Source organism: Homo sapiens, chromosome 12 (genome assembly GCF_000001405.40).
Source record: "Homo sapiens chromosome 12, GRCh38.p14 Primary Assembly".
Lineage (NCBI taxonomy): Eukaryota > Metazoa > Chordata > Mammalia > Primates > Hominidae > Homo > Homo sapiens.
In genome coordinates, this window is record NC_000012.12 from 505,369 (window position 1) to 529,001 (window position 23,633).

At 47.8% G+C, this 23,633-nt stretch overlaps 1 protein-coding gene and 1 long non-coding RNA gene across 2 annotated transcripts in view, besides 2 other annotated features; one reads left to right on the forward strand and one right to left on the reverse strand.

Annotated features, from left to right (window-relative positions):
* B4GALNT3 (beta-1,4-N-acetyl-galactosaminyltransferase 3) overlaps positions 1-23,633 on the forward strand; it is a 103,571-nt gene that overhangs the window by 45,430 nt on the left and 34,508 nt on the right. The gene's annotated exons all lie outside the window — the stretch shown is intronic.
* LOC124902852 (uncharacterized) lies at positions 2,357-2,802 on the reverse strand. The gene is made up of 3 exons (XR_007063150.1): positions 2,624-2,802; positions 2,480-2,587; positions 2,357-2,407 (listed from the first exon to the last, which is right to left on the reverse strand). It is a non-coding gene; the product is annotated as an uncharacterized LOC124902852 (long non-coding RNA).
* Positions 3,997-4,570: an enhancer, noted in NCBI's record as "H3K27ac-H3K4me1 hESC enhancer chr12:618531-619104 (GRCh37/hg19 assembly coordinates)". NCBI's record gives its function as "activates a minimal SCP1, AML or CMV promoter by ChIP-STARR-seq in naive H9 embryonic stem cells {active_cell/tissue: H9 hESC(naive)}" and the evidence as "EXISTENCE:reporter gene assay evidence [ECO:0000049][PMID:30033119]".
* Positions 5,414-6,060: an enhancer, noted in NCBI's record as "H3K27ac-H3K4me1 hESC enhancer chr12:619948-620594 (GRCh37/hg19 assembly coordinates)". NCBI's record gives its function as "activates a minimal SCP1, AML or CMV promoter by ChIP-STARR-seq in naive H9 embryonic stem cells {active_cell/tissue: H9 hESC(naive)}" and the evidence as "EXISTENCE:reporter gene assay evidence [ECO:0000049][PMID:30033119]".

The following is a 23,633-nucleotide window of genomic DNA, read 5'->3' on the forward strand; positions in this document are numbered from 1 at the left end:
AGCATCAGCGGCTCTTACAGCAGCCCCCTTTCCTCTGTTCCCACTGCAGCCTCCAACCCTGGACTCCCTAAGCCCAGAGGGGAAAGGAAGGGCCGTCTGCCCAGCCATTTGAACCCTGATCCATCTTGGATTGGAGAATTGCTTTGGAGAAACCTGAAATCAAGAATTGGCGCTTGCTGAGATTTGCCTGGGGGAACATTTGCCCCATCCTTGAGTTTGGCTTTTGCATTTTCTGGCCTTTCTCATGCTTTCCTGTCCATTTTCAGAATGTTCCCACTGCATGAAGTATTGTCTCCCTGCCACACTTCATTGTCATGGGGGAGAGTGTCCTGAAGACCCTTGTTTCATGTTGCTGGGGCCCAGGATTGCTGTCTGCAGAGAGATAGGGGTCTGAATAGGTCTACCTCTCAAATTATCCTGCTTCTGGGGTTGATAGGAGTTGGGGGAGGAGACTGAGGAGCTGGAGACAAAGCTCTGTGGAACCCACCAAGGATTTTAAACCCTCTCCCATGAAGAGCCCTAGATCAGTGACAAGTGGGAGAGTTGCCATTTGCAACTCCATCCATCTATTTTTGTCTTCTTTCATTTGCATAGATCTGAGCCAGGTAAGCATCAGCTGATACTCTTCTTATAAATCAGATTGTAACCCGATTTGTCTGTCTCATTTTTTTACCCTCTAATACAGCACAGGTACAGTATGCCTATAGGTATGTCCCTGAAACATTCTATGCAGTTCAGATTTTTTTTTTTTAGGAACTATTTTAAATTCATTAGGCAGGCTTTATTATTTCAGGCATCCATGATGGATCTGCTAGCAACAGGAAAATCGTTCTTCATTTGTGTGTGTTTATTATCAAATCATAGAGTGTAACACTTACAATGGTCCTTAAATATCATCATTTTATAACTAAGAAAACCAAGGATCAGGAGGTCACTGGGATCACAAAGCCAGTGAAAGAACAAGGACCAAAACCTTGGTCTCCTGACTTCTAGCCCACTGCTCTTTCAATCACAGGGACAATGAAATACAGAGAAGTTTAAAACTGTTATCTTCCTATATTTTCATTTCCATCTCTTTTTTCTACTTAAAAACATTTTATTTCTATTTTTTAAAATTCAAAGGTATATAATATTAAAAGGTGCTTTCACAGAAGTAAGCACCATAAAAAATTCAATATGCCTTCTAAGTGTTTTCTATGCCTCTGTGATGCCTGTACACATACACATAGAGGCTCCTATACTTACAAGTGCATTTTTATTTATTTTTTATTTTATTTATTTTTTTTGAGACAGAGTCTCACTCTGTCACCCAGGCTGGAGTGCAGTGGCGCGGTCTCGGCTCACTGCAAGCTCCGCCTCCCGGGTTCACGCCATTCTCCTGCCTCAGCCTCCCGAGTAGCTGGGACTACAGACACATACCACCACGCCCGGCTAATTTTTTGTATCTTTAGTAGAGACGGGGTTTCACCGTGTTAGCCAGGATGGTCTCGATCTCCTGACCTCGTGATCCGCCCGCCTCGGCCTCCCGAAGTGCTGGGATTACAGGCGTGAGCCACCGTGCCCGGCCAAGTGCATTTTTAAATGAATTTTTAATTTTAGAATAGTTTTTCATTTACCCAACATTGCAAAGGTAGTCTGGAGAGCTCTCACTTTGCTCACACCCAGTTTCCTCTATTATTGGCATCTTGCATTAAGCCCCGGTACATTTGTCATGATTAATGAACCAATATCGGATGTTATTATTAACTCAAGTTCATACTGTATCCTGAATTCCTTTCAGATATCCCTTTTCTGTTCCTAGACCTCTGTAGTCATTGGGTCTCCCTAAGTTCCTACTGGCCATGACAGATTTAAGCGTTTTTTTGATAGTGTCACTTTTGTGATATATATGGCAACCTTTTTTCACATAACTATATGTTTTGAACACCTTTCTGGGTTAGTGTGTGTGGCCTTCCACACCCTTTTAACTCACCACAGTGTTCTGTTGAGTGGCTTTACCCCATCATTTTACACTGCCCTTGGCACAGAGCCCCCGTCTGGAAGTGTCACTGGGCCTGGGTGCTGTCTGGTGGATTAGACAGACGCTTCCACTGTCTTGGAATTTGGACACTGTGGGAACAGAGAACATGGATGTAAATGACCTGACAGAGCTCAGAGAAAAGGAGCCACGTGGCCTGGGGCACTGCTGTTGTGGCGACCCTTCACCCCACGCCCTCCACCCTACATCCCTCACCCCACACCCTACGCCCTGCGAGTGGCTCTGTGTTTACATACAAGAGTTTACATCTGTGGTGGAAGCACTTTCTCACAAAAGGGTAGGGCTTATTCTAGGAGGCCCTACCAAAGAAAAGCACTAGGTAGCAGCATTCCAGCTGTAGGGCCCGTGACTGTGGCATGCGGAACATTCCTGCCCCTGGAAATCCAGTAGTAGCTTGGTGGACGTCTGTCCCTGGAAATCCAGTAGTAGCTTGGTGGACACCTGCCCCTGGAAATCCAGTAGTACCTTGGTGGACACCTGCCCCTGGAAATCCAGTAGTAGCTTGGTGGACACCTGCCCCTGGAAATCCAGTAGTAGCTTGGTGGACACCTGCCCCTGGAAATCCAGTAGTAGCTTGGTGGACACCTGTCAGGAGTGCTTGAGTAGAGCGTTGATACTAACCTGTGAAAGAAATTTCTCATGATCATCCATTGTAACTGGAAGAGATCTGAAAAATGACTCGGCCCAAGGTCCCACAGCCAGTGGAGACAGAATGTCTTCTCTTACTGTCTTTTCCGCTGGCCCTGCCAGCCCAGACCTGTCCCTAGGGGGACATCCAATTCATATTCGTTAATGAAGAGAAAGCTTCCAGATCCTTCAAGGTGTCTCTGTTACCTCAGAAGGTCCAGTGCATATTTTGAAACAACTTACTTTTGTTTTTTTTAGACAGGGTCTTGCTCCATCACCCAGGCCACCCAAGCTGGAGTTCAGTGATGCAATCATGGCTTACTGCAGCTTCGAACTCCCAGGCTTGAGCAATCTTCCCACCTCAGGCTCTTGAGTGCCTGGGACTACAGGTGTGTGCCACCATGCCTGGCTAATTTTTAAAAATTTGTTATAGAGATAGGGTCTTACTACATTGCCCAGGCTGGTCTCAAACTCATGGTCTCAAGCAATAAAACAGCTTTTTAATGTTTAAATTATACCCGAGGTTTGGTTCTCTGCAGATGTCCCCCAGAATTGGGCACAGCCTCCGATCGGCCTTATTCCTCTCACTTAATATTTGTCACTATTCCAAACCCCATGTTCAACACTTCACCCATTACCTTTTCCCTCTGACCTCTGATTTGCACAGGCCCTTCCAGCAGAGCTCCAGGCTGTTCTTGCCCAAGCAGAGATTACAAACATACTACTTTGAGGACTGACCCTCCCAGACTTACCACTTCAGCCGAAGTAAGGGAGAACTAGACAACTCTCTTTGTCTCATGCTACAAAGTGCCCCAGGAGGCCTTTCATACACAATTATTTTTCAGTAAGGAGCCAGGGAACCAGGGTCTTTTCCTCTCATGCACCTTGTGAGGTTGGCAGGACAGCGTGTGACTCATGCCTGGACAGAGGCGCATACCTTTAACAGCCTTGCTGGGGAGGTGCCCCACTTAGGAGTGGTGGAGATACACTCTACTGGTTTTTCCTACCCAGCAGGTGTCTAAGACAGACACACTCAGACAACACTGCTTTCCCCATCACTGCCTGTCATCCAACACTTCAAAGATGATGGACAACGTGTCTGAAGCTGATGGGGCGGAGGACCCCTGCACACCTGCACCTACTAACCTACTGCTGTACCTTCGCCCCACCCCCAGCCCCCTTTGAGAGCTCAGATCCCGCCTAGGAGGGGATGGATGGGCTTGTTAACAGCTGACAAGTGCTCTGCAAAATGCAGCTGTTTAATCATAAATGAACATTAGAAGGTGGCCTGGAGCCACTGTGCTTTAGGAAACTCATGCGCGTGGAGAGGACAGGAGGAAAGGAGATTTCCAGGGCAGGAGAAACTTGGGAAGCAACACTGAATGGGAAGAGAGGGAGGCTTTCTAGGGGATTTAAATGATACTGAAACCCGGATACGGAATAGGAGAAAAAATACCAACTTGCTCTCAGGGTGTCTTTACTCTCCCCAGTGCAGATTTCATTGACCTAAATCAGGTCTCTGCTCCTATTTGCTGGTACCTAGTTCAAGAGAGTCTTATAAATACACAAAGCCGGAAATGCCTGGGTAGGGGGGTGGCAAGAGCATGCGGTTCCACTCCAGGACAGGATCTGACTCAAATCACACTTCCCTCCTGGATTCCAGACTGTCAGGAGGGATGCCTCCGAGGTGGTGTTTGGAAGGAGGTGCTGAGAGCGGAGCTGGGTTATTCTAAGCGTGGCCCAGGGAAGATCTTGCCAGACTTGTTAATGTGTGACCCCACCCAGTGCCATGCTCAGCAAGGCAGAGAAGTGTGCTGTGGGTGGTGGGAGCAAGAAAGAGAGGAGGCCAGGACATCTCTATTCCACACATACCCTGTTTCATCCCTTGCTGCATTTCACTAAAATTATCCACTCGCCCCTACGAGACCTGCTGTGTCCTCCTTGAGTCCTTGTTTGGCATACCTTTGTTCCCTTCCATGGCCGAGTGAGTTCAGTCCACATTCATTGAACTGAAAGCTCACAGGTCTTGGAGCCTGGAGAAATAATCGGAACCATTCCCTTTCGTCTCCAGGCAAGATGAGCGATGGACCCAGGTTGCCTAACCTAGTTAGCTGCATGACACTCCAGAGCATCCAGCTCAAAGCAGGCATTGACAGGGATGGGGCACCCAGAGAAATGGCGCTGGTGCTGCTGTAGGGGTAAGATGTAGCAGCAAGGGGCGGGCAAGAGGGCTCCAGATGATTTCTGCCATGCTGAGCTAGCTGCCTGCTGGCTTTGTAAGCAGTGGAATAAGAAGACTATTGTGTCAACTCTTTGAGGGGGTGTGGCCTTCCTTGGGGTGAGAAAGCACAATGGGAAGGGCTAGCAGCTCCCCCGATCCTCTTCCTACTGTGACCTGAGAGACACTCCATGGGGGGGTTGGACGCTGGGGGGCTGGTCAGGGGAGTTGGCTGGGCTGGGAGGGAAACGGGCCCTTTCAAGAGCAAGTCAGACTCTGGTGAGCTGTTTACCCGCCTCATGCCCAAGGGTGCAATGTGAGTCATTTAATTTAATTGGTTTAATAAGTAAACGGTCTGGGTACAAAGAGGAGGGGGTTGGGTATGAGAGGGAGGGGCGGGGCAAACCCTGCAGAGCTGCTTTGGAAAGAAACCTGTTGCCAGCCCTCTAGGGATGGTCACAATTAAACAGGGAGTGGAGATGCTTTGGGAAGTAGGGAGAAGGGAGAGCCCCAGATGTTGAAGTGGAAAGAGGAGTAGAGGCTATAAGTCGGCCAGCCTCAGATTCTCAGTGCCCATCTGAGTATTCGATTCACTGGTGCTGGTATATCCACAGGGCTGTGCAACCATTGCCACTACCTAATTCCAGAGCATTTTCCTCACCCTAGAAAGGAACCTCACCCATTATCAGTCACTCCCAATTCTCCCCACCTCCAGCACTGGAACCACGACTCTCCTTTTGGTCTCTATGGATTTGCCTATTCTTTTTTTTTTTTTTTTTTTTTTTTTTTTTTTTTTTTTTTTTTGAGACAGGGTCTTACTCTGGTGCCCAGGCTGGAGTGCAGTGGCAGCTCACTGCAATTTCTGCCTGCCAAGCTCAAGGTATTCTCCCACCTCTGCCTCCTGAGCAGCTGAACTACAGGCGTGTGCCACCACGCTCGGCTAATTTTTGTTTTTTGTTTTTTTTGGTACCTTCCACCATCCACCTTCCACCTTCCGCCTTCTGCCTTCCGCCTTCCACCTTCGACCTTCTTCCACCTTCGACCTTCCACCTTCCACCTTCCGCCTTCTGCCTTCCACCTTCCACCTTCCTTCCACCTTCCACCTTCCACCTTCAACCTTCCGCCTTCCGCCTTCCACCTTCTGTCTTCCACCTTCCTTCCACCTTCCACCTTCCACCTTCTTCCACCTTCCACCTTCCACCTTCTTCCACCTTCCACCTTCTTCCACCTTCTTCCACCTTCCACCTTCCACCTTCCACCTTCTTCCACCTTCCACCTTCCACCTTCTACCTTCCTTCCACCTTCCACCTTCCGCCTTCGACCTTCTTCCACCTTCCACCTTCCGCCTTCCACCTTCGACCTTCTTCCACCTTCGACCTTCCACCTTCCACCTTCTTCCACCTTCGAGCTTCCACCTTCCGCCTTCCGCCTTCCACCTTCTGTCTTCCACCTTCCTTCCACCTTCCGCCTTCCACCTTCCTTCCACCTTCCACCTTCCACCTTCTTCCACCTTCCACCTTCCACCTTCTTCCACCTTCCACCTTCCACCTTCTTCCACCTTCTTCCACCTTCCACCTTCCACCTTCTTCCACCTTCCACCTTCCACCTTCTTCCACCTTCCACCTTCCACCTTCTTCCACCTTCCACCTTCCGCCTTCGACCTTCTTCCACCTTCCACCTTCCACCTTCTTCCACCTTTGACCTTCCACCTTCCACCTTCCGCCTTCCGCATTCCGCCTTCCATCTTCCTTCCACCTTCCACCTTCCGCCTTCCACCTTCTACCTTCTGCCTTCCACCTTCGACCTTCTTCCACCTTCAACCTTCCACCTTCGACCTTCCACCTTCCACCTTCCACCTTCTTCCACCTTCGAGCTTCCACCTTCCACCTTCCACCTTCCGCCTTCCGCCTTCCACCTTCCGCCTTCCGCCTTCCACCTTCCGCCTTCCACCTTCCACCTTCCACCTTCCACCTTCTTCCACCTTCCACCTTCCACCTTCTTCCACCTTCTTCCACCTTCTTCCACCTTCCACCTTCCACCTTCTTCCACCTTCCACCTTCTTCCACCTTCCACCTTCCACCTTCCTTCCACCTTCCACCTTCCGCCTTCGACCTTCTTCCACCTTCCACCTTCCACCTTCTTCCACCTTTGACCTTCCACCTTCCGCCTTCCGCCTTCCGCCTTCCATCTTCCTTCCACCTTCCACCTTCCACCTTCCGCCCACCTTCCACCTTCCGCCTTCCACCTTCTACCTTCTGCCTTCCACCTTCGACCTTCTTCCACCTTCAACCTTCCACCTTCGACCTTCCACCTTCCACCTTCCACCTTCTTCCACCTTCGAGCTTCCACCTTCCACCTTCCACCTTCCGCCTTCCACCTTCCGCCTTCCACCTTCCACCTTCCACCTTCTTCCACCTTCCACCTTCCACCTTCGATCTTCCTTCCACCTTCCGCCTTCCACCTTCCACCTTCCACCTTCTTCCACCTTTGACCTTCCACCTTCCACCTTCCGCCTTCCGCCTTCTGCCTTCCTTCCACCTTCCGCCTTCCACCTTCTTCCACCTTCCACCTTCCGCCTTCTGCCTTCCACCTTCCGCCTTCCACCTTCCTTCCACCTTCCACCTTCCACATTCCACCTTCTACCTTCCGCCTTCCGCTTTCCACCTTCTGCCTTCCACCTTCCACCTTCCACCTTCTTCCACCTTCCACCTTCCACTTTCCACCTTCCACCTTCGATCTTCCTTCCACCTTCCACCTTCCGCCTTCCACCTTCCACCTTCCACCTTCTTCCACCTTCCACCTTCCACCTTCTTCCACCTTTGACCTTTCACCTTCCACCTTCCGCCTTCCACCTTCTGCCTTCCTTCCACCTTCCGCCTTCCACCTTCCACCTTCGACCTTCCACCTTCCACCTTCCACCTTCCACCTTCTTCCACCTTCCACCTTCCACCTTCCACCTTCCACTACCGTTCTTGGATTTTGCCAACAAAGAACAAAGAATTGAGGGCAAATCTGTAGAGTAAAGTGAAAGCAAATTTATTAAAAAAGTAAAGGAGTAAAACAATGACTATTCCACAAGCAGAGCAGCCCTGAAGGCTGCTGGTTGCCCATTTTATGCTTATTTCTTGATTAGATGCTAAACGGTGTGGGTTATTCGTGCCTCTCATTTTTAGGCCATATAGGGTTAACTTCCTGATGTCGCTGTGATGTTTGTAAACTGTCATGGTGCTGGCGGGAGCATAGCAGCGAGGACAACCAGAGGTCACTTTTATCACCATCTTGGTTTTGGTGGGTTTTAGCCGGCTTCTTTCCTGCAGTCTGTTTTATCAGCAAGGTCTTTATGACCTGTATCTTATGCCTCCTATCTTATACCTCCTATCTCATTCTGTGATTAAGAATGGCTTAACTTACTGGGAATGCAGTCCAGCAGGTCTTAGCCTTATTTTAGCCAGCCTCTATTCAAGGTGGAGTTGCTCCAGCACCTCTGACAATAGCTCACTACGGCCTCAAACATTTTTGTATAGACGCGGTCTCCCTATGTTGCCCAGGCTGATCCCTAACTCCTGGCCTCAAGCAGTCCTCTGACCTCAGTTTCCCAAAGCATGCGGATTACAGGCGTGAGCCACTGTGCCCAGTCCATTTCTTTTTATTGCTAAGTTATATTCTGTTGTGTGGATAGACCACATTTTGCTTCTCCATTCATAGTTGATGATGGACATTTGCATTGTTTCCGCTTTTTGGCTATTAGGAATAATGCTGCGCTGAGGCTTTCATTTCTGTTGGGTGTATACCTGGGAATAGAACTGCTGGGTCAAATAGTAACTCCATGTTTTGAGGGACTGTCAGATTTTTCCAAATCGGCTACACCATTTTACATTCTCACCAGCCATGTATGAGGGTTCCAATTTCTCTATGTTCTTGCCAACACTTGTTATTGTCCGTTTTTGTTTTTTTTTTTTTTTTTGAGACGGAGTCTCGCTCTGTCCCCCAGGCTGGAGTGCAGTGGCGCGATCTTGGCTCACTGCAAGCTCCACCTCCCGGGTTCACGCCATTCTCCTGCCTCAGCCTCCCAAGTAGCTGGGACTACAGGTGCCCGCCACCACGCCTGGCTAATTTTTTGTATTTTTAGTAGAGGCGGGGTTTCACCGTGTTAGCCAGGATGGTCTCGATCTACTGACCTCGTGATCTGCCCGCCTCGGCCTCCCAAAGTGCTGGGATTACAGGCATGAGCCACCACGCCCAGCCTATTTTTTTTAAATAAAAGACTAATAAATTCTATTAGTATGAGAGCAAGGAGGAAGGCATGGAAGGTTGTTGCACTGTCAACATTAGTTATGGTGGGGAGGCAGAGAAGGAGAAGAGATGCTTTTTTTTCTTATTTATGTCTGATCACTGGTTGTGGTGAATACTTGGGATTTCTAGGAAACAAAAAAGGGTCCATGTATAAGAAGAGTTTAGAATTGAATCAGAATAGTGGTTAAGAACACAAATTCTGGGCTGGGCGTGGTGGCTTACACCTGTAATCCCAGCACTTTGGAAGGCCAAGGCGGGCAGATCACCTGAGGTCAGGAGCTCGAGACCAGCCTGGCCAACATGGTGAAACCTCGTCTCCACTAAAAATACAAAAATTAGCCAGGCTTGGTGGTGGGAGCCTGTAATCCCAGCTACTCGAGAGGCTGAGGCAAGAGAATCGCTTGAACCTGGGAGGTGGAGTCGAGATCGCACCACTGCACTTGAGCCTGGGTGACAGAGCAAGGCTCTGTCTCAAAAAGAAAAGAAAGAAAGAACACAAATTCTGGAACCAAAGACCTTGAGTTCCTGGCTCCACAACTTACTAGCCATGTGGCAAGTTACTTAACCTCTCTGAAGTTCAATTTCCTCATCTGTGAAAGGAAGGCAATAATAGTACCTACCTCAAAGGGGTTTTTTTGTTGTTGTCGTTGTTGTTGTTTTTTGAGACAGTCTCACTCTGTTGCCAGGCTGGAGTGCAGTGGCGCAATCTTGGCTTACTGCAACCTCCACCTCCCTGGGTTCAAGCGGTTCTCCTGCCTCAGCCTCCCGAGTACTGAGTAGCTGGGGCTACAGGCGGGCACCACCACACCCAGCTAATTTTTTTTTTCGTATTTTAGTAGAGACGGGGTTTCACCATGTTAGCCAGGGTGGTCTCAATCTCCTGACCTCGTGATCCACCTGCCTCAGCCTCCCAAAGTGCTGGGATTTTAGGCGTGAGCCACCGCACCCAGCCTCAAAGGGTTTTTATGACAATTAAAAGGGATAAATTTGTAAGATGTTTAAGACACTGCCTGGCATATTGTAAATGCTAAATGTGTTAGCTCTTATTGTTTTTATCATCTCGTATTTATCGAATATTTACCGTATGCCACTCTCATTTGATCCTCATAACCCCGTTTGGGAAATACTACTAATATAGCTGTTTCACAGAGATGAAAACCAAGGCTTAGAGATTAAGCTAGATGTCTTAGCGCCTGACTCTGAAGTTCTTCCCCTACTGCCTATAGGGATACTATTGTCAGTAACATTGTTTGTTGAACAAGTACCTATGTGCTGGGCATAATGAAAAAAGTAGACAAAAATCCTGCTTTCAGCCGGGCACAGTGGCTCATGCCTGTAATCCCAGCACTTTGGGAGGCTGAGACTGGTGGATCACGAGGTCAGGAGATCGAGACCATCCTGGCTAACGTGGTGAAACCCCATCTCTACTAAAAACACACACACACACAAAAATTAGCCAGGCGTGGTGGCGGGTGCCTGTAGTCCCAGCTACTCGGGAGGCTAAGGCAGGAGAATGGCATGAACCCGGGAGGCAGAGCTTGCAGTGAGCCGAGATAGTGCCACTGCACTCCAGCCTGGGCGACAGAGCGAGACTCCGTCTCAAAAAAAAAAAAAAAAATCCTGCTTTCATGGAACATACATTCAAAGTATATGTGTGGGGAGAAGATAGATTTTATACACATGCACACATAATATGTCAAGTGGTAATAAATGCTATTGAGAAAAATAATACAGAGTTAGAAAGAGAGTGATAGGCTGGAGGTAGCGTGTTATTATAGATAGGATGATCAGGAAAGGCTTCTGATATTTGAGCAGAGATCTGAGTAAAAAGGGCAAGAAACCTTCGCAGGGAAGTGTGTTTTAGGTAGAGGACATGCAAAGGCCCGGGGTACAGCATGCCTGGCATATTGGAAGGACAGCAAGGAGATCAGGGTAGCTGGAATGAAATGGTGGTAAAGAGATAGGAGACAAGGTCGGAGATTTAATCTGCAAGGCCTTACTCGTTGAGCAACCATATAATTGATTGTTTAAATTGGAATATTTTTGAGAGTGAAAGCAGGTACCATTAATAATTGTCAGGGTAACAAGTGTAAACTGGGTCTTTCCCCAATAAACGTTACTCATTGGCCATCAGAAGGATCTTGGATTGTATTTGAGTGATTTGGGAAGTCACTGGAAGGTTCCAAGCAAGGACTGGCATGGCCTGACTTACATTTTGGTGGAGTTCCTCTGGCTACTAGACCATAGGTGCAGGGGTGGATACAAGGGGACTGGAAGAGCGATGATGTCTAGGACTGGAGTGGTGGAGACGGAGGAGGGAGAAGTCATCAGATTTTGGATGGCTTTTGAAAGTATGGCTGATGAGACTTGCTGAGGGATTGGATATGGGGAGAGGAATCAATGAGGGATTGGATATGGGGAGAGGAATCAAGTAGTTTGAAGATTTTTGACCTGGGTGGTTGGAAGGCTGGAGTTGTCATTTACAGGATGGAGAGGTGCAGGTTTGGGAGGAAAAATCAAGAGTTAGGTTAAGTTTCAGATGCCTTTGGTATCCAAGTGAGAGAGTGAGTAAGAAAATTCACTGTATAAGCGGGGAGTTCAGGCTAAGGCTAGGGAAGTCATCAATGTACAGATGGTGTCCCAAAAAACCTGCTGAGATCAGCAAGGCAGCAGTGTTGATGGCAAAGACAAATATCGGGGACTGACCCTAAGGTAAGCAATCCAGTGTTTAAAGGTTAAAGGAAAAATGAGGAGCATTTAGCAAAAGGATAAGGAGTAGCCCATGGGAGAAGATCAGGGATTACAGGGGAATCATAACCTTCTGCTTGACACACTTCTGTACTCTGTGATTTAGGGGGAGGGAGGTAAACATATGTTACTTGTATTTTAGAAACAAAGCTTCTGGGTTCCAGTCAGGGACCCAAGACAGGTGTCTTGTGGGAGGCGAGGGGGTTGGAGGTGGCCCTGTAAAATCTAGGTCTCTTTAGGGACAGTGATGTTATTTCCGTTTTATTTTATTTCAGTGATTTATTTACATTCCCAGACCCAGCAATTCCACCTTCCCCAAAATGCCTATTCATGACCTACTTCCCCATGATGTCTTCCCTGACCACCAGGATCCTCCTCTCTGGATTCCAGGAGACTTTGCTCAGTGCTCAGTTATGTACTTGTCATGTTATCAAACCCATCCTTCCTGCATGAAGCAGGGCTGTGCCATGGGGAAAGCATAGGAGAGGCAGGCTGGGTGTGAACTCCAGTCCAGCCATGCATTAGCGGCCGTGGCAGGACCATCAGCCATGACTTATCAATTCCTCACCAGTGGGGCTCCACAATACTGGCTTCACAGGATTGGAATGAGAATTAACCAGGCAGTAGTGGGAAGAGTGAGGTCTTTGAAACCAAACAGAATTAGTTTGAATCCCAGTTTAGCTACTTTTAAGATCTGGGGCAAATCATGTAAACTCTTTAAACCTCAGTTTTATCGTTAGGAAAATGGGGAGAATAGTACCTTACAGGGCTGTTGTGCATTGGAAATTAATTCATTCATTTACCTAATTCATCTTTCCAGCTGAATTATGAGGGTAGAGGGGTGAAACAACTGGGCTTTAAGATATTAAGGAACTTGCCAAAGGTCACAAGCTAAAAAGTGGCAGGGTGGGAATTCAGTTCCAGATCTTTCTGCTCTGAAAGTGGTTCTTACCCATCTTCAATCATCCACTCAGAGCCAAACAAGGCAGCTATGCGCAGTTGTCTCTTGGTATCCACGACGGATTGATTCCAGAATTCCCCATGGATACCAAAATCCGAGGATACTCAGGTCCCTTATATAAAATATGGTGCAGTATTTGCATATAACCTACATACATCCTTCCATATGATTTTTTTAAGACTCTGGGTCTCACTCTGTTCCCCAGGCTGGAGTGCAGTGGTGATCATAGCTCACTGCAGACTCCAACTCAGGGACTCAAGCAGTCCTCCCTCCTCAGCCTCTAGGACCACAGGCGTGTGCCACCATGCCCGGCTAATTGTTGTTGTTGTAAAGATGGGGTCTGTTGTGTTGCTCAGCCTGGTCTCCAACTCCTGGGCTCTAAGCTATCCTCCCACCTCAGCCTCTCAGAGTACTAGAATTACAGGCATGAGGCACTGTGCCCAGCCCCTCCCATATACTTTAAATCATCTGTAGATTACTTCTAATACTTAATACAATGCAATAGCATTTGCAGTTACATAGCATTGTAAATAGTTGTCATGCTGTGTATTTTTAACTTGTATTTTCTATTATCGTATTTTTTATTTTTATTTTTCTGAATATTTTCAATCGCTATTGGTTGAATCCACGGATATGAAACCTGCGGGACCTGTGTATACCAAGGACTGACGATATACATAATAGATGCTCAGAAAATCTAGCTTGTTGTCTGCCCACGTGGCTTCTTCTTTAAAGTCTCTTTTAAAGCTTCCTTCCCACTGTAAGCCATTTCGTGCAACCATCAGAATTCTAATAAACTGATCCAAGAAGCCAATTCAAAATAAATGTCAGACTGTGCAGTCTTTGTGAGAAGCCTGTATCTGTTTTTACATGCTGGTGAACTCCAGGGAAACCTAGCTCAGTGCCTCAGCCCACTCAAGGGAATATTTGCATCTTACCCTACAAATTGCCTACAACAGGCTCTTTGAAAGATGGAAAACATATTCCCCTAAGACCTGGGAAGGCTAAACAGTTAATAGCTTCTCAAGGGTTTTATGTATTACTAGGATACCGGCAGCTATCACAGGTCATTAAATATCAAAGTTTATGCTCAAGAAGCCAAAAGAAAAACAATCCAGCTTCTCTGTGCCTCAGTTGTCTTCACAAATACCCCAACTAGGAGAATGTTCCAGAAACCATTTAAGCATCATGCAGGTAAAATGAGAGTCGCACAGATCTGAAGGGTTCAAATGTTCACCGCTGGCAGAACGCGGCTCAGTGGCAATAAGGCTCCCTCCCCTTTCATCCTGGAGCTTTCTCCTAGTATTGGCTCCTTCCCCAAAGCGTCTCTCTTTTCCTTTCTGCTTTTTTTTTTTTTTTTCCGGTAAGGATCAGAGTCATCCATCCCATCCCAAGCAGTTTTTATCAGCTCATCTTCTGAGATATCCTTGATTTTCTCTTTGATTCCCACCAGACCTTGTTGATGTGTTGGTTCACTGAGGCTCTTTCAGCCGAATCAGGGACACAAATTTAGGTTGAGCGACTGCTGTTTCTTAGCAACTTAGCAACTGCAGTCTCATCAGCAAAAGGTGAGTAGAGGTGAGCTCCTCACTCAGCCCTCAACAGCGCTCGCCATAACCCTTGGGTTGTTTCCATGGAAAGTACTCTCTCATTGGCCGGGTTAGTCCCTTTCATATTCTCAGCTTTCTACCCTCTTGTTATGTCCTCTGTGTAGGGGAATTTCAACATATATTTGACCTAGCATTGGTTCTATTGCTGTCTCCACTTCATACTTCACTGTTTATGGTTCGGGCCAGCTGTCATGTCCCTCCAGCATGGAGTTAGACCTGGATCGACGCGCTGGCTCAGGGAAAAGGGAGTGGTGGGAGAAATTGCTGGGGGTTAGGGGCAAGACAGGACATGGGATAGAGGGTTTTGGAGTAAACTTTTATCCTCTAAAGCTATCCATGCGTCTTAGCAACATCTCTGTTGACCCAGCTATACATGGGTTAGATAGAGTTGTATAGAGCAGTTCCCTCTGGTCCTTTGACCCGTGATTTTAGCAAATGTGTGAGGCTGAGGACTATAGAGATCTTTGAAACTGATAACAGTGTCAAACAATGTAACTGGCCTGGTTTTCCAGGAGAGATGAACTATTTCAGACATTCTATTGCCATAGCCAGACCACATATCCTGATTTTGAGTTCAGAAAATATGGTTATTAACACATCAAATAACCAGTTGATTTAGTAAGGTCCTCACTTTTCTATTATCATACTTTTCCCTGTAGACATAGAGCTGTATGGGATGTAAAAATCCTGCTCAGTAGTTTAATTGGCCATCATAACGGCCGATGTCTCATTGCATTGCTGAAAGGTAAGAGTAGATCAGTAGAAATTATCTTATGGGATTGTGACTAATAGTATCTGAACTAAAGTAGGTATTTTGACAATTTTCCTGAGGCAGGAGAATCTCTTGAACCTGGGAGGCGGAGGTTGCACTGAGCCGAGATCGTGCCACTGCGCTCCAGCCTGGGTGACAGAGCGAGACTCCGTCTCAAATAGATATATACATATATGAATTGGAGTGTTGCTTTCAAAGGCTCTGACTGTTTTATCTCAACTTTCCAAGAAATACTTGCACATTGTCTGCCTGCATGGGAACTCACTTTTCCCTGGGAACTCACTTTTCCAGGGGATATTCTGAATAGTCAGCTCTTCCATCCTGTAAAGTTTCTTAAGTATTGTAAAACTAACTCCATATGTTTGTATCTTTGATACCTTCAGCTGCATTTTAGGTGCCTTTGCATTAAAAACGTAATGACTCTCGGAGAAGTCACACCCCCGGTTCAGGAAGAACAGTCAGTTATTCAGAGTTAAGCTGTTTTCACAGGGAAGATTCAGAACATCGCCCTCTCCCCACCCCTGAGTCTAATGGCGTTAGAAGGATGTGCGGTCCTTCTGCCAGCAGGACTCTCGTCATCACCCTCCTGATGTAGCCCACCCTCCACCACCACGGGACACCTGGGGATTTGAATCCTGGGGTCACTTAGACCCTCTTTCCCAGGAATTTAAATCCTAAGTCACTTAGACTGTCCTGGGAATTTGAATCCTAAGCAGAGACACACTGAGGTGTCTGGAGCCGGGTCACTGGGTGGCTGTTGAGATCTAATCACTGCCGTGGTTCCTGGCCTTTCCGGGGCCCAGTCGTGTGGTTCTGTCTTTGATTCTGTGAGCTACTCTGTGGTCTTTCCCAGAATTACTCTTGGCCTGAATTAGGAAGGAAGAGAGGGCGGAGAGGCAGGCCATGATGGTAACTGGAAGAAACTACAGTGAAGGACCGTTCTTACCCGCCTCTGTTTTTAGTTCCTGGGCCGTCACTGAGTGACATGGTCCTGCCACACAATCCCGGTATGCGGCTTGCTCACCACGGGGTTCAGAACATCCAAAATGCCACGTTCAGTGGGACGATTCCACTGACACGTTGATGTTGCCGCAGCGTCCGATTGCACTAATTCTACGTGCTCGCTCTAAGTTCCTGTACCGGCCTCACTGAGGACAGGCAACCAACAGTTCGCAGACCTCTATCGGCACTGAGCTGGAGCTTCCATGGGAGCAGGTAACTTAGCCTCTCTCTGAAGCTGGGATGTGTTGGAACTGCTGATTTCCACACAGGCTAGTGGACTAGGACCTCCCTGTCCCTGGGGAGAGCCCTACTCCAGGCCCGCTCAGAAGTTCTTTTTTTTTTTTTAACTTATTGGCTGGGATTGCCCCAACCTGACTCTACTCACCTGCCACCCCTCCTCTTTCCACCCAAGGCTTCCCAGACTTTCTGCTTTCTCCATCAAACATGAGCTTTGCCACCAAAGAAGAGAGCAGCCTGGCCTCCCTTGGCCTGCAGCACCTGCTCCTTGTGTGCAGTTTAAAAAAATGTGCCTTCCAAGAGCATGGCAAGCAAGGGCTCTGAGAGATATTTGCACACTCTTGTTCACAGCAGCATTTTCCACAGTAGCAAGAGGTGGAAACAGCCCAAGTGTCTAAGACAGACGAATGGATAACCAAAATGTGGTCTGTCCATACAATAGGATATTCAGCCTTAAAAAAGGAAGGAAATTCTGACACATGCCACAACATGGGTGAACCTTGAGAACACGTGAAGTGAGAAAAGCCAGACACAAAAGGAAAAATATTGTATGATTCCACTTCTGTGAGGTCAAATTCTGTGAGTAGTCAAATTCATAGAGACAGAAAGTAGAGTGGTGGTTGCCAGGCCCTGGGGGGAAGGGAAAGTGGCAGTTCGTGTTTAATGGGTACGGAGTTTCAGTTCGGCATGATGGGGAGGTTCCAGAGGTGGATGGTGGTGAACAACAGTTTGAATGTTCTTAATGCCATTAAGTGTACACTTTAAAATGGTTGACATGGGCCAGGCGTGGTGGCTCACGTCTGTCATCTCAGCAGTTTGAGAGGCCACGAAGGGAGGATCACTTGAGCCTAGGAGTTCAAGACCAGCCTGGGCAACAGAGAGACCCCTGTCTGTACCAAAAAAGAAAAAAAAAATTAGCCAGGCATGGTGGCACACGCCTGTGGTCCCAGCTACCTGGGAGCTGAGGTGGGATGATCGCTTGAACCTGGGAGGTCAAGGCTGCAGTGAGCCGAGATTGCACCACTGTACTCTGCACTCCAGCTGGGTGACAGAGGGAGACTCTGTTTAAAAAAAAAAAAAAAAAAAAAAAGGTTAAAGTGGTAACTTTTATGTTATAGGTATTTTACTAAATACACACTCCCCCTAAAAATTAAATTTAAAAAAGAGAGAAAGCATTCCCTAAAGAAAGCACTTCCTTCGAGGCACCTTTGGACTGTGCCTTTGACATCTGTGCCATTGTGAGTGTCCACAGGGTGCTGGGGCAGTCTTCAGCTGGTTGTTAATTTATCAATGTCAGGGCCAGTGTCTGTCACTTCACTCAGTCCCTAGCCCAGAATCGTGACCAGCAGATGCCTAATCGGTTCTAGCATGATAAATATGCCAGGCCTCTCACTAAACCCTCCTTGTCCTTCCTTCATTCATTCATTCACTCCACATGCATCAAATGCCTGATTTCTATAGTGAGAATATAAAATCAGGCCCAGGCAATTTAATCCTTTTCTGAAGCGTGGATGTGTTGAAACTACTAACTTTAACTCATTTATACAGCGAGAATCTAATAACAAACAAGACCTGGTTTCTGCCTGCATTGTGCTCATTTTCAGCCCTTTCCTAGATTAGGCTCAGCCAGCGTCCTCCCCGGAATACTCTACCTGCAGCTCACTTAACTCCAGCAGCTATGGCTAAGTACTGAGCTGTGGTGCACGAAGTCTTGGGCCAAGAATCAAAGGCCTAGGCTCTAGTCCGGTCCCTAGCACAGGCTTCCCTTTGACATTAAACAAATTAATTAACTTTTCTGCAGGTCTCTATGTCTCCATCGGCAAAATGGAAATGATTTTTGGCATTGGGATAAAAATAAGAATAAACTAAGAATGTGAATCAACTCCGATAGAAAACATCAGATATAGGCCGGGCGCAGTGGCTCATGCCTGTAATCCCAGCACTTTGGGAGGCTGAGACAGGCGGCTCACGAGGTCAGGAGTTCGAGACCAGCCTGGCCAAATAGTGAAACCCCGTCTCTACTAAAAACACAAAAAATTAGCTGAGTGTGGTGGCAGGCGCCTGTAATCCCAGCTCCTCGGGAGACTGAGGCAGGAGAATTGCTTGAATCCAGGAGGGGGAGGTTGCAGTGAGCCAAGATCATGCCATTGCACTCTAGCCCAGGCGACGGTGAGAGACTCCATCTCAAAAACAAAAACAAAAAAACACACATCGGATAGACTGATCCGTGGTGGGATGGTTGACTAAACCATACAACCCATTCCTCCACCCCGATATGGTCTAACCTGAAGTTCCATTAAAATGATGTTTCATGGGGAGCAGGAAAGCAGATCCCCATATTCCTTTCTTGAAGAACAAAGTTACTGTCATACATGCCTTCTCCGTCCTATTTATCACTACCAAGGACAGGTTACAACAACCTCAGTTTGACTTTGGCAAGTTATAATCATCAGACCTCGCAGATCTAGCAGCTGGCAGCCCTCCAGATCAGATAATGTACCTTATTTGTTTTCAAGCTTGATGCAGAAAAGAGAAAGGGCTTAATAAGATCCTTAAAAGAGTGTGTTTTTCCAAAAGGAGCCGTCAGGTGGGGAGAGGGCAGGGTGGCCGTGGCTCCTGGCTGCTGGTCCCAAACCCAGTCCCTGTGTGGGCCTGGAAAACTTTTTTGGCCTCAGGGCCATACCTCTTTCTGCTTTCCTTGGATTCCATTGCTTTTGCATTCAACAAACAAAAGGGTCTGTGTGAGATACTTGTTAAGACATGTTAAAAAAAAAAAAAAAGAAAAAAGAAAAGAAAACAAACGAGTTAAATCTCAGCTCCATTATCTAGATGTTGTAGTTCTTGGGCAGATATGCACTCTCCTTACCAGTCAGGACCTCAGTTTTCTCATCTGTAAAATGGGAATAATAATACCTACCGTAAGGATTGTTAGGAAGATTAAATGAGACCATTTATGTCAAGTGCTTAGCGTGATGACTGGCCTGCGCAAACGCACATTCGTTAGCTGTTGTGTTTGTCCTCTGTTAAATGCATGTGGTGGGTTAAACTTGTTGTGTTAAACCTGCCACTATCTTCTGTTGAACTTGTTGGTGGGTTAAGTGGGTTAATGTACAGAGGAGGGCTTTGTAAACAGTGTTGTTTCCCACCCAGGTCCCTTTTGACATCTTACTGTAGTCAGCGTACAAGTCTAGCCTCTTCATAAATAACACAATTTTATTTATTTATTTATTTATTTATTTATTTATTGTTGTTGAGACGGAGTCTCGCTCTGTCGCCCGGGCTGGAGTGCAGTGGTGTGATCTCGGCTCACTGCAATCTCCACCTCCTGGGTTCAAGCAGTTCTCCTGCCTCAGCCTCCCGAATAGCTGGGATTACAGGTAAGCACCACCACACCCCACTAATTTTTGTATTTTTAGCAGAGATGGGGTTTCACCATGTTGGTCAGGCTGGTCTCGAACTCCTGACCTCAGGTCATCCGCCTGCCTCGACCTCCCAAAGTGCTGGGATGACAGGCGTGAGCCACTGCGCTCGGCCAATAACACAATTGTCATCAAGTATTTCCCATGTCTCTCCTCCTGTCTCCGTTGCTGGTGAGGTGATGCTCTCTTTTCTCCTTTCCAAAGCCACACTCCTGACTGTATTCTTCTCTCCCACTCTTTTTCCAATCTTCAGTTTTTTCATTCTGGTTCCTTCTCTTTGTTTCTGTAAGTCGTGTGTCCCTGAAGGCCCTCCAACTATGGAAACCGCCTCCCTCCTCAAGTCAGGGCGGAGTCACTTCCGCCAAGCTGGGAAGAGTTCCTGCTCCCTCCTTCCACCTGGAAAGGAATAGGAGGAAGAGCACAGGCTTTTGACCAGCTACGGGGCTCCTGTCCCACTGTGGCCCTAAACCGTTCAGAGCATCCATGGGCAATGGTAAACATTGAGGTGAGTTCTGGAGATGTTTCTGCTGAAACTACTCCATTGCCATCTTACAGAGTCAGGGTTTTCCTGTAGCTCTGTTGCTTTTCCTGGACTCTTTAGGACACTGAAGACCAGTTTTCCAATCCCGGAAAACGTGTGCAGAACATTCTGCCTGAGGTTCCTGCGGCCTGAGAAATGGAAACTTATTGAGCAATGTCATGTCATCAGCATCCAGTTAGCCCTGATGTCTAATGAGTGTCTGCTTGTTTGCATAATGCAGAACTGGCCTGTGTGTGCCCTGCATGTGGGCATGGGTATGTGTGCCAGAGCGCATCCTCAAGTCCATGGATGTCCGTCCTAACTGCACCTAGGGAAGGGTGGAGCTGAATGTCTCCATTGGTGCTTTTCTATGTATCACAGCGGGTAGCAGAGGACTAAGTACAGCACACAACAGGTGCTCAGTAAATGCCTGCTGATGGTTGGTTCACTGACTCATTTGCTCATTCTTTCTCAGCCTGCTGATCGCTTACTCCTGACCACCACTAAACTTCCTCTTTGAAAGACTCCAGGGAGGAAAAGGATTGCCCCACATCTTCCGTCTGCATGCAGAAACTTATCCTGTCCCAGGCCAGAAAGAAGATAGGAAAAGACAAGCCTAGCGGGTTCAGAAAAGTCAGTACTGACCTGAGGGATCCTGGAAGCACCTCTGTGGCCCTTCGCTAGGTCCATGGGCTCCGGCCAGTCTTAGAGGTCCCGGAGCCTATTACGTCTAGATTTTCCTAAATCACCCCATTGTATCAAGGGTCTTAAGTCAAAATTCCCCTTCACAGGACTGTGTTTGTCGCTGTAATTGTCACAACACTTACTACTAAATGGGCCCTTAAATGTTATAGGTGTTTGTTTGTTTGTTTGTTTGTAATGATGATGATGATAATGATGATATCTTAGAGGTGACCCCATGGCCTGGCTAAACCTTCTGTGGCCTCTTCTGATCAAATTCGTGGCTTGGAAAATGGATATTTACTGAGCTGGGCTGGGTCCAGACAGACTCCATATTCCCAGAGCAGCGACAGCAGAATAGAAAGGGCGTCTGCCCCCTCTTCTTACCTCCTCTCCTTATCTGCCCCCTTGGTTTTAGACTTTGTGTTTTTGTTTTTTGTTTGTTTGTTTTTGTGATAGAGTCTCCCTCTGTCACCCAGGCTGGAGTGCAGTTGTACACTTGTGGCTCATTGCAGCCTCTACCTCCTAGGTTCAATCCTCCCGAGTAGCTGGGAACACAGGTGCGCACCACCACGCCCAGCTAGTTTTTTGTTTTGTTTTGTTTTGTTTTTTTTAAAGAAACGAGGTTTCACCATGTTGTCCAGGCTGGTCTCGAACTCTTGAACTCGAGCAATCCTTCACCCTCCACCTGCTAAAGTGCTGGGATTACAGGCGTGAGCCACCACACCCGGCTGGTTTTATGCTTTAATGTGGATGTTTGGGCCAAGCAGGGATGTTTGGGTGAGGAGGAAGCACTGTCAGCAGGGCAGAAGTTCCCAGGCAAACACCTGGCATGGGCTCAGATGCCCTCTCTTGGGCCCCCTTAGGGGGCACCCAGTGGGGCAGTAGGTACAGTCCCTTGTGCCTGTAGCTCGCAAACCTCAGCCTGCCTGCAGCCACAGCCGTTTCAGTAGCTCAGGTGCTAGCTTGGCAGGAAGCTGGGGGAAAGGACAGCTGGTTGTTCTTCAGGTGCCTGCCCTGGCCGTGAGCATCAGCAGGCTCAGGGTAGCGTCGGGGAAGAGACTTATCATGGCCCCACCCATATCCATCTGCTCATCTAGAGGAACGGGTAGGCCTTAGGATTCCACCTTTCTGCGGCTCCTCACTTGCCCCCCCACCATGCACACCTGTGCTGGGAGGGAGCATGAGATGGGGCCAGGGGCAGTGTCTGCTTGCAGACACACAGCTGGGTGGCTTACGTTGAGAAGGAAGAGCTTGGGAGCCAGGAAGAGGGGAGCAGGCTCACACTCAAATGCTCTCATGTCCAATTCTCCAGCTGTTTGGGACCGTGGGACAATAGAGTTGGGTCTCCACACTCTTCCTTGCATTTTGGGGGCTTACATGGAGAGATGTTAGTCAAATGAGAGATAATAAGGAAATGGTCTGGGGGTGTGTGTGTGTGTGTGAAGTGTGGGTGGGTGGGTGAGTAGGAGGTCATTGGAGAGGGGATAGGGGAACAGGGGTAGCTGGTGACTCAGTGGGTACCTGACACCGGGTGATAAGATGGCAATAGTGGAGGCAGACACAAATTCTCAAGCACGTTCAATGTAGAGTAGTGGAATTTGGTACACAGGTTTTTGTCCTGGGTTCAAATACTGGCTCGGTCACCTACTGCCTATGTGACTTTTGGCAAGAATTTTAACCTCTAAGCCTTCTTTTCCGGCTTATTCTATTAATTTTTAATTTTTAAATGTTTTTTAGAGACGGGGTCTCATCATATGGCCCAGGCTGGAGTTCAGTGGCAATTCACAGGTGCAGTCATGACACACTACAGCCCGAACCCCTGGGCTCAAGCCATCCTCCCACCTCAGCCTCCTGAGTAGCTGAGATTACAGGTGTGAGCCACTGCACCCAGCTGGTTTATTATATTAAATAAAACACCCGATGTTTCACTTAATATACATATAACAGGCATATGTATGTGTATATAAATGCCTAACACGTAAGTGTTAACCGTTACTGTTGTATTACTAATAATTTTTCTCGCATCAAGTTCCCTGGCGCATCGTGTACTAGAAAGGATAGGTTTAGCCACACAGCCTGGCTCTGCCATTGGAGCATTGGGTTTGCCTTAGGGACTCCCTCCCAGGTGGCAGGCCCCTGGCTTCACCCCTGACTCTCTGTGCCACTTCAGGTTTCTGGCGGGGTTCAGGCCCTGCTGGCTTCTAGCCTTAGCAGCTTTGTCCTGCTGAGGATGTGTGACTGGTCCCACATGCTCTCCAAGGACAGAGCCACAGCCCCTGCTTTTCCATCCCAGGACTCAGTGCTGGTTCCTGGCATTTGTGGAACTGCGCCCTGGATGTCATGGCCTCATGTTCATTCCCTTGACAACCTCCTGCTCTCTAGTGGGAGAAGGGCTCTGTTTCCGTTCAGCTCCTCTGGATTTCATCACCTTTTCTCATTCCAGTTTGAGTGTCTGGTGACAGTTCTGTCTACAGACCCCGGGGCTTCTTAGCCAATCATGTACG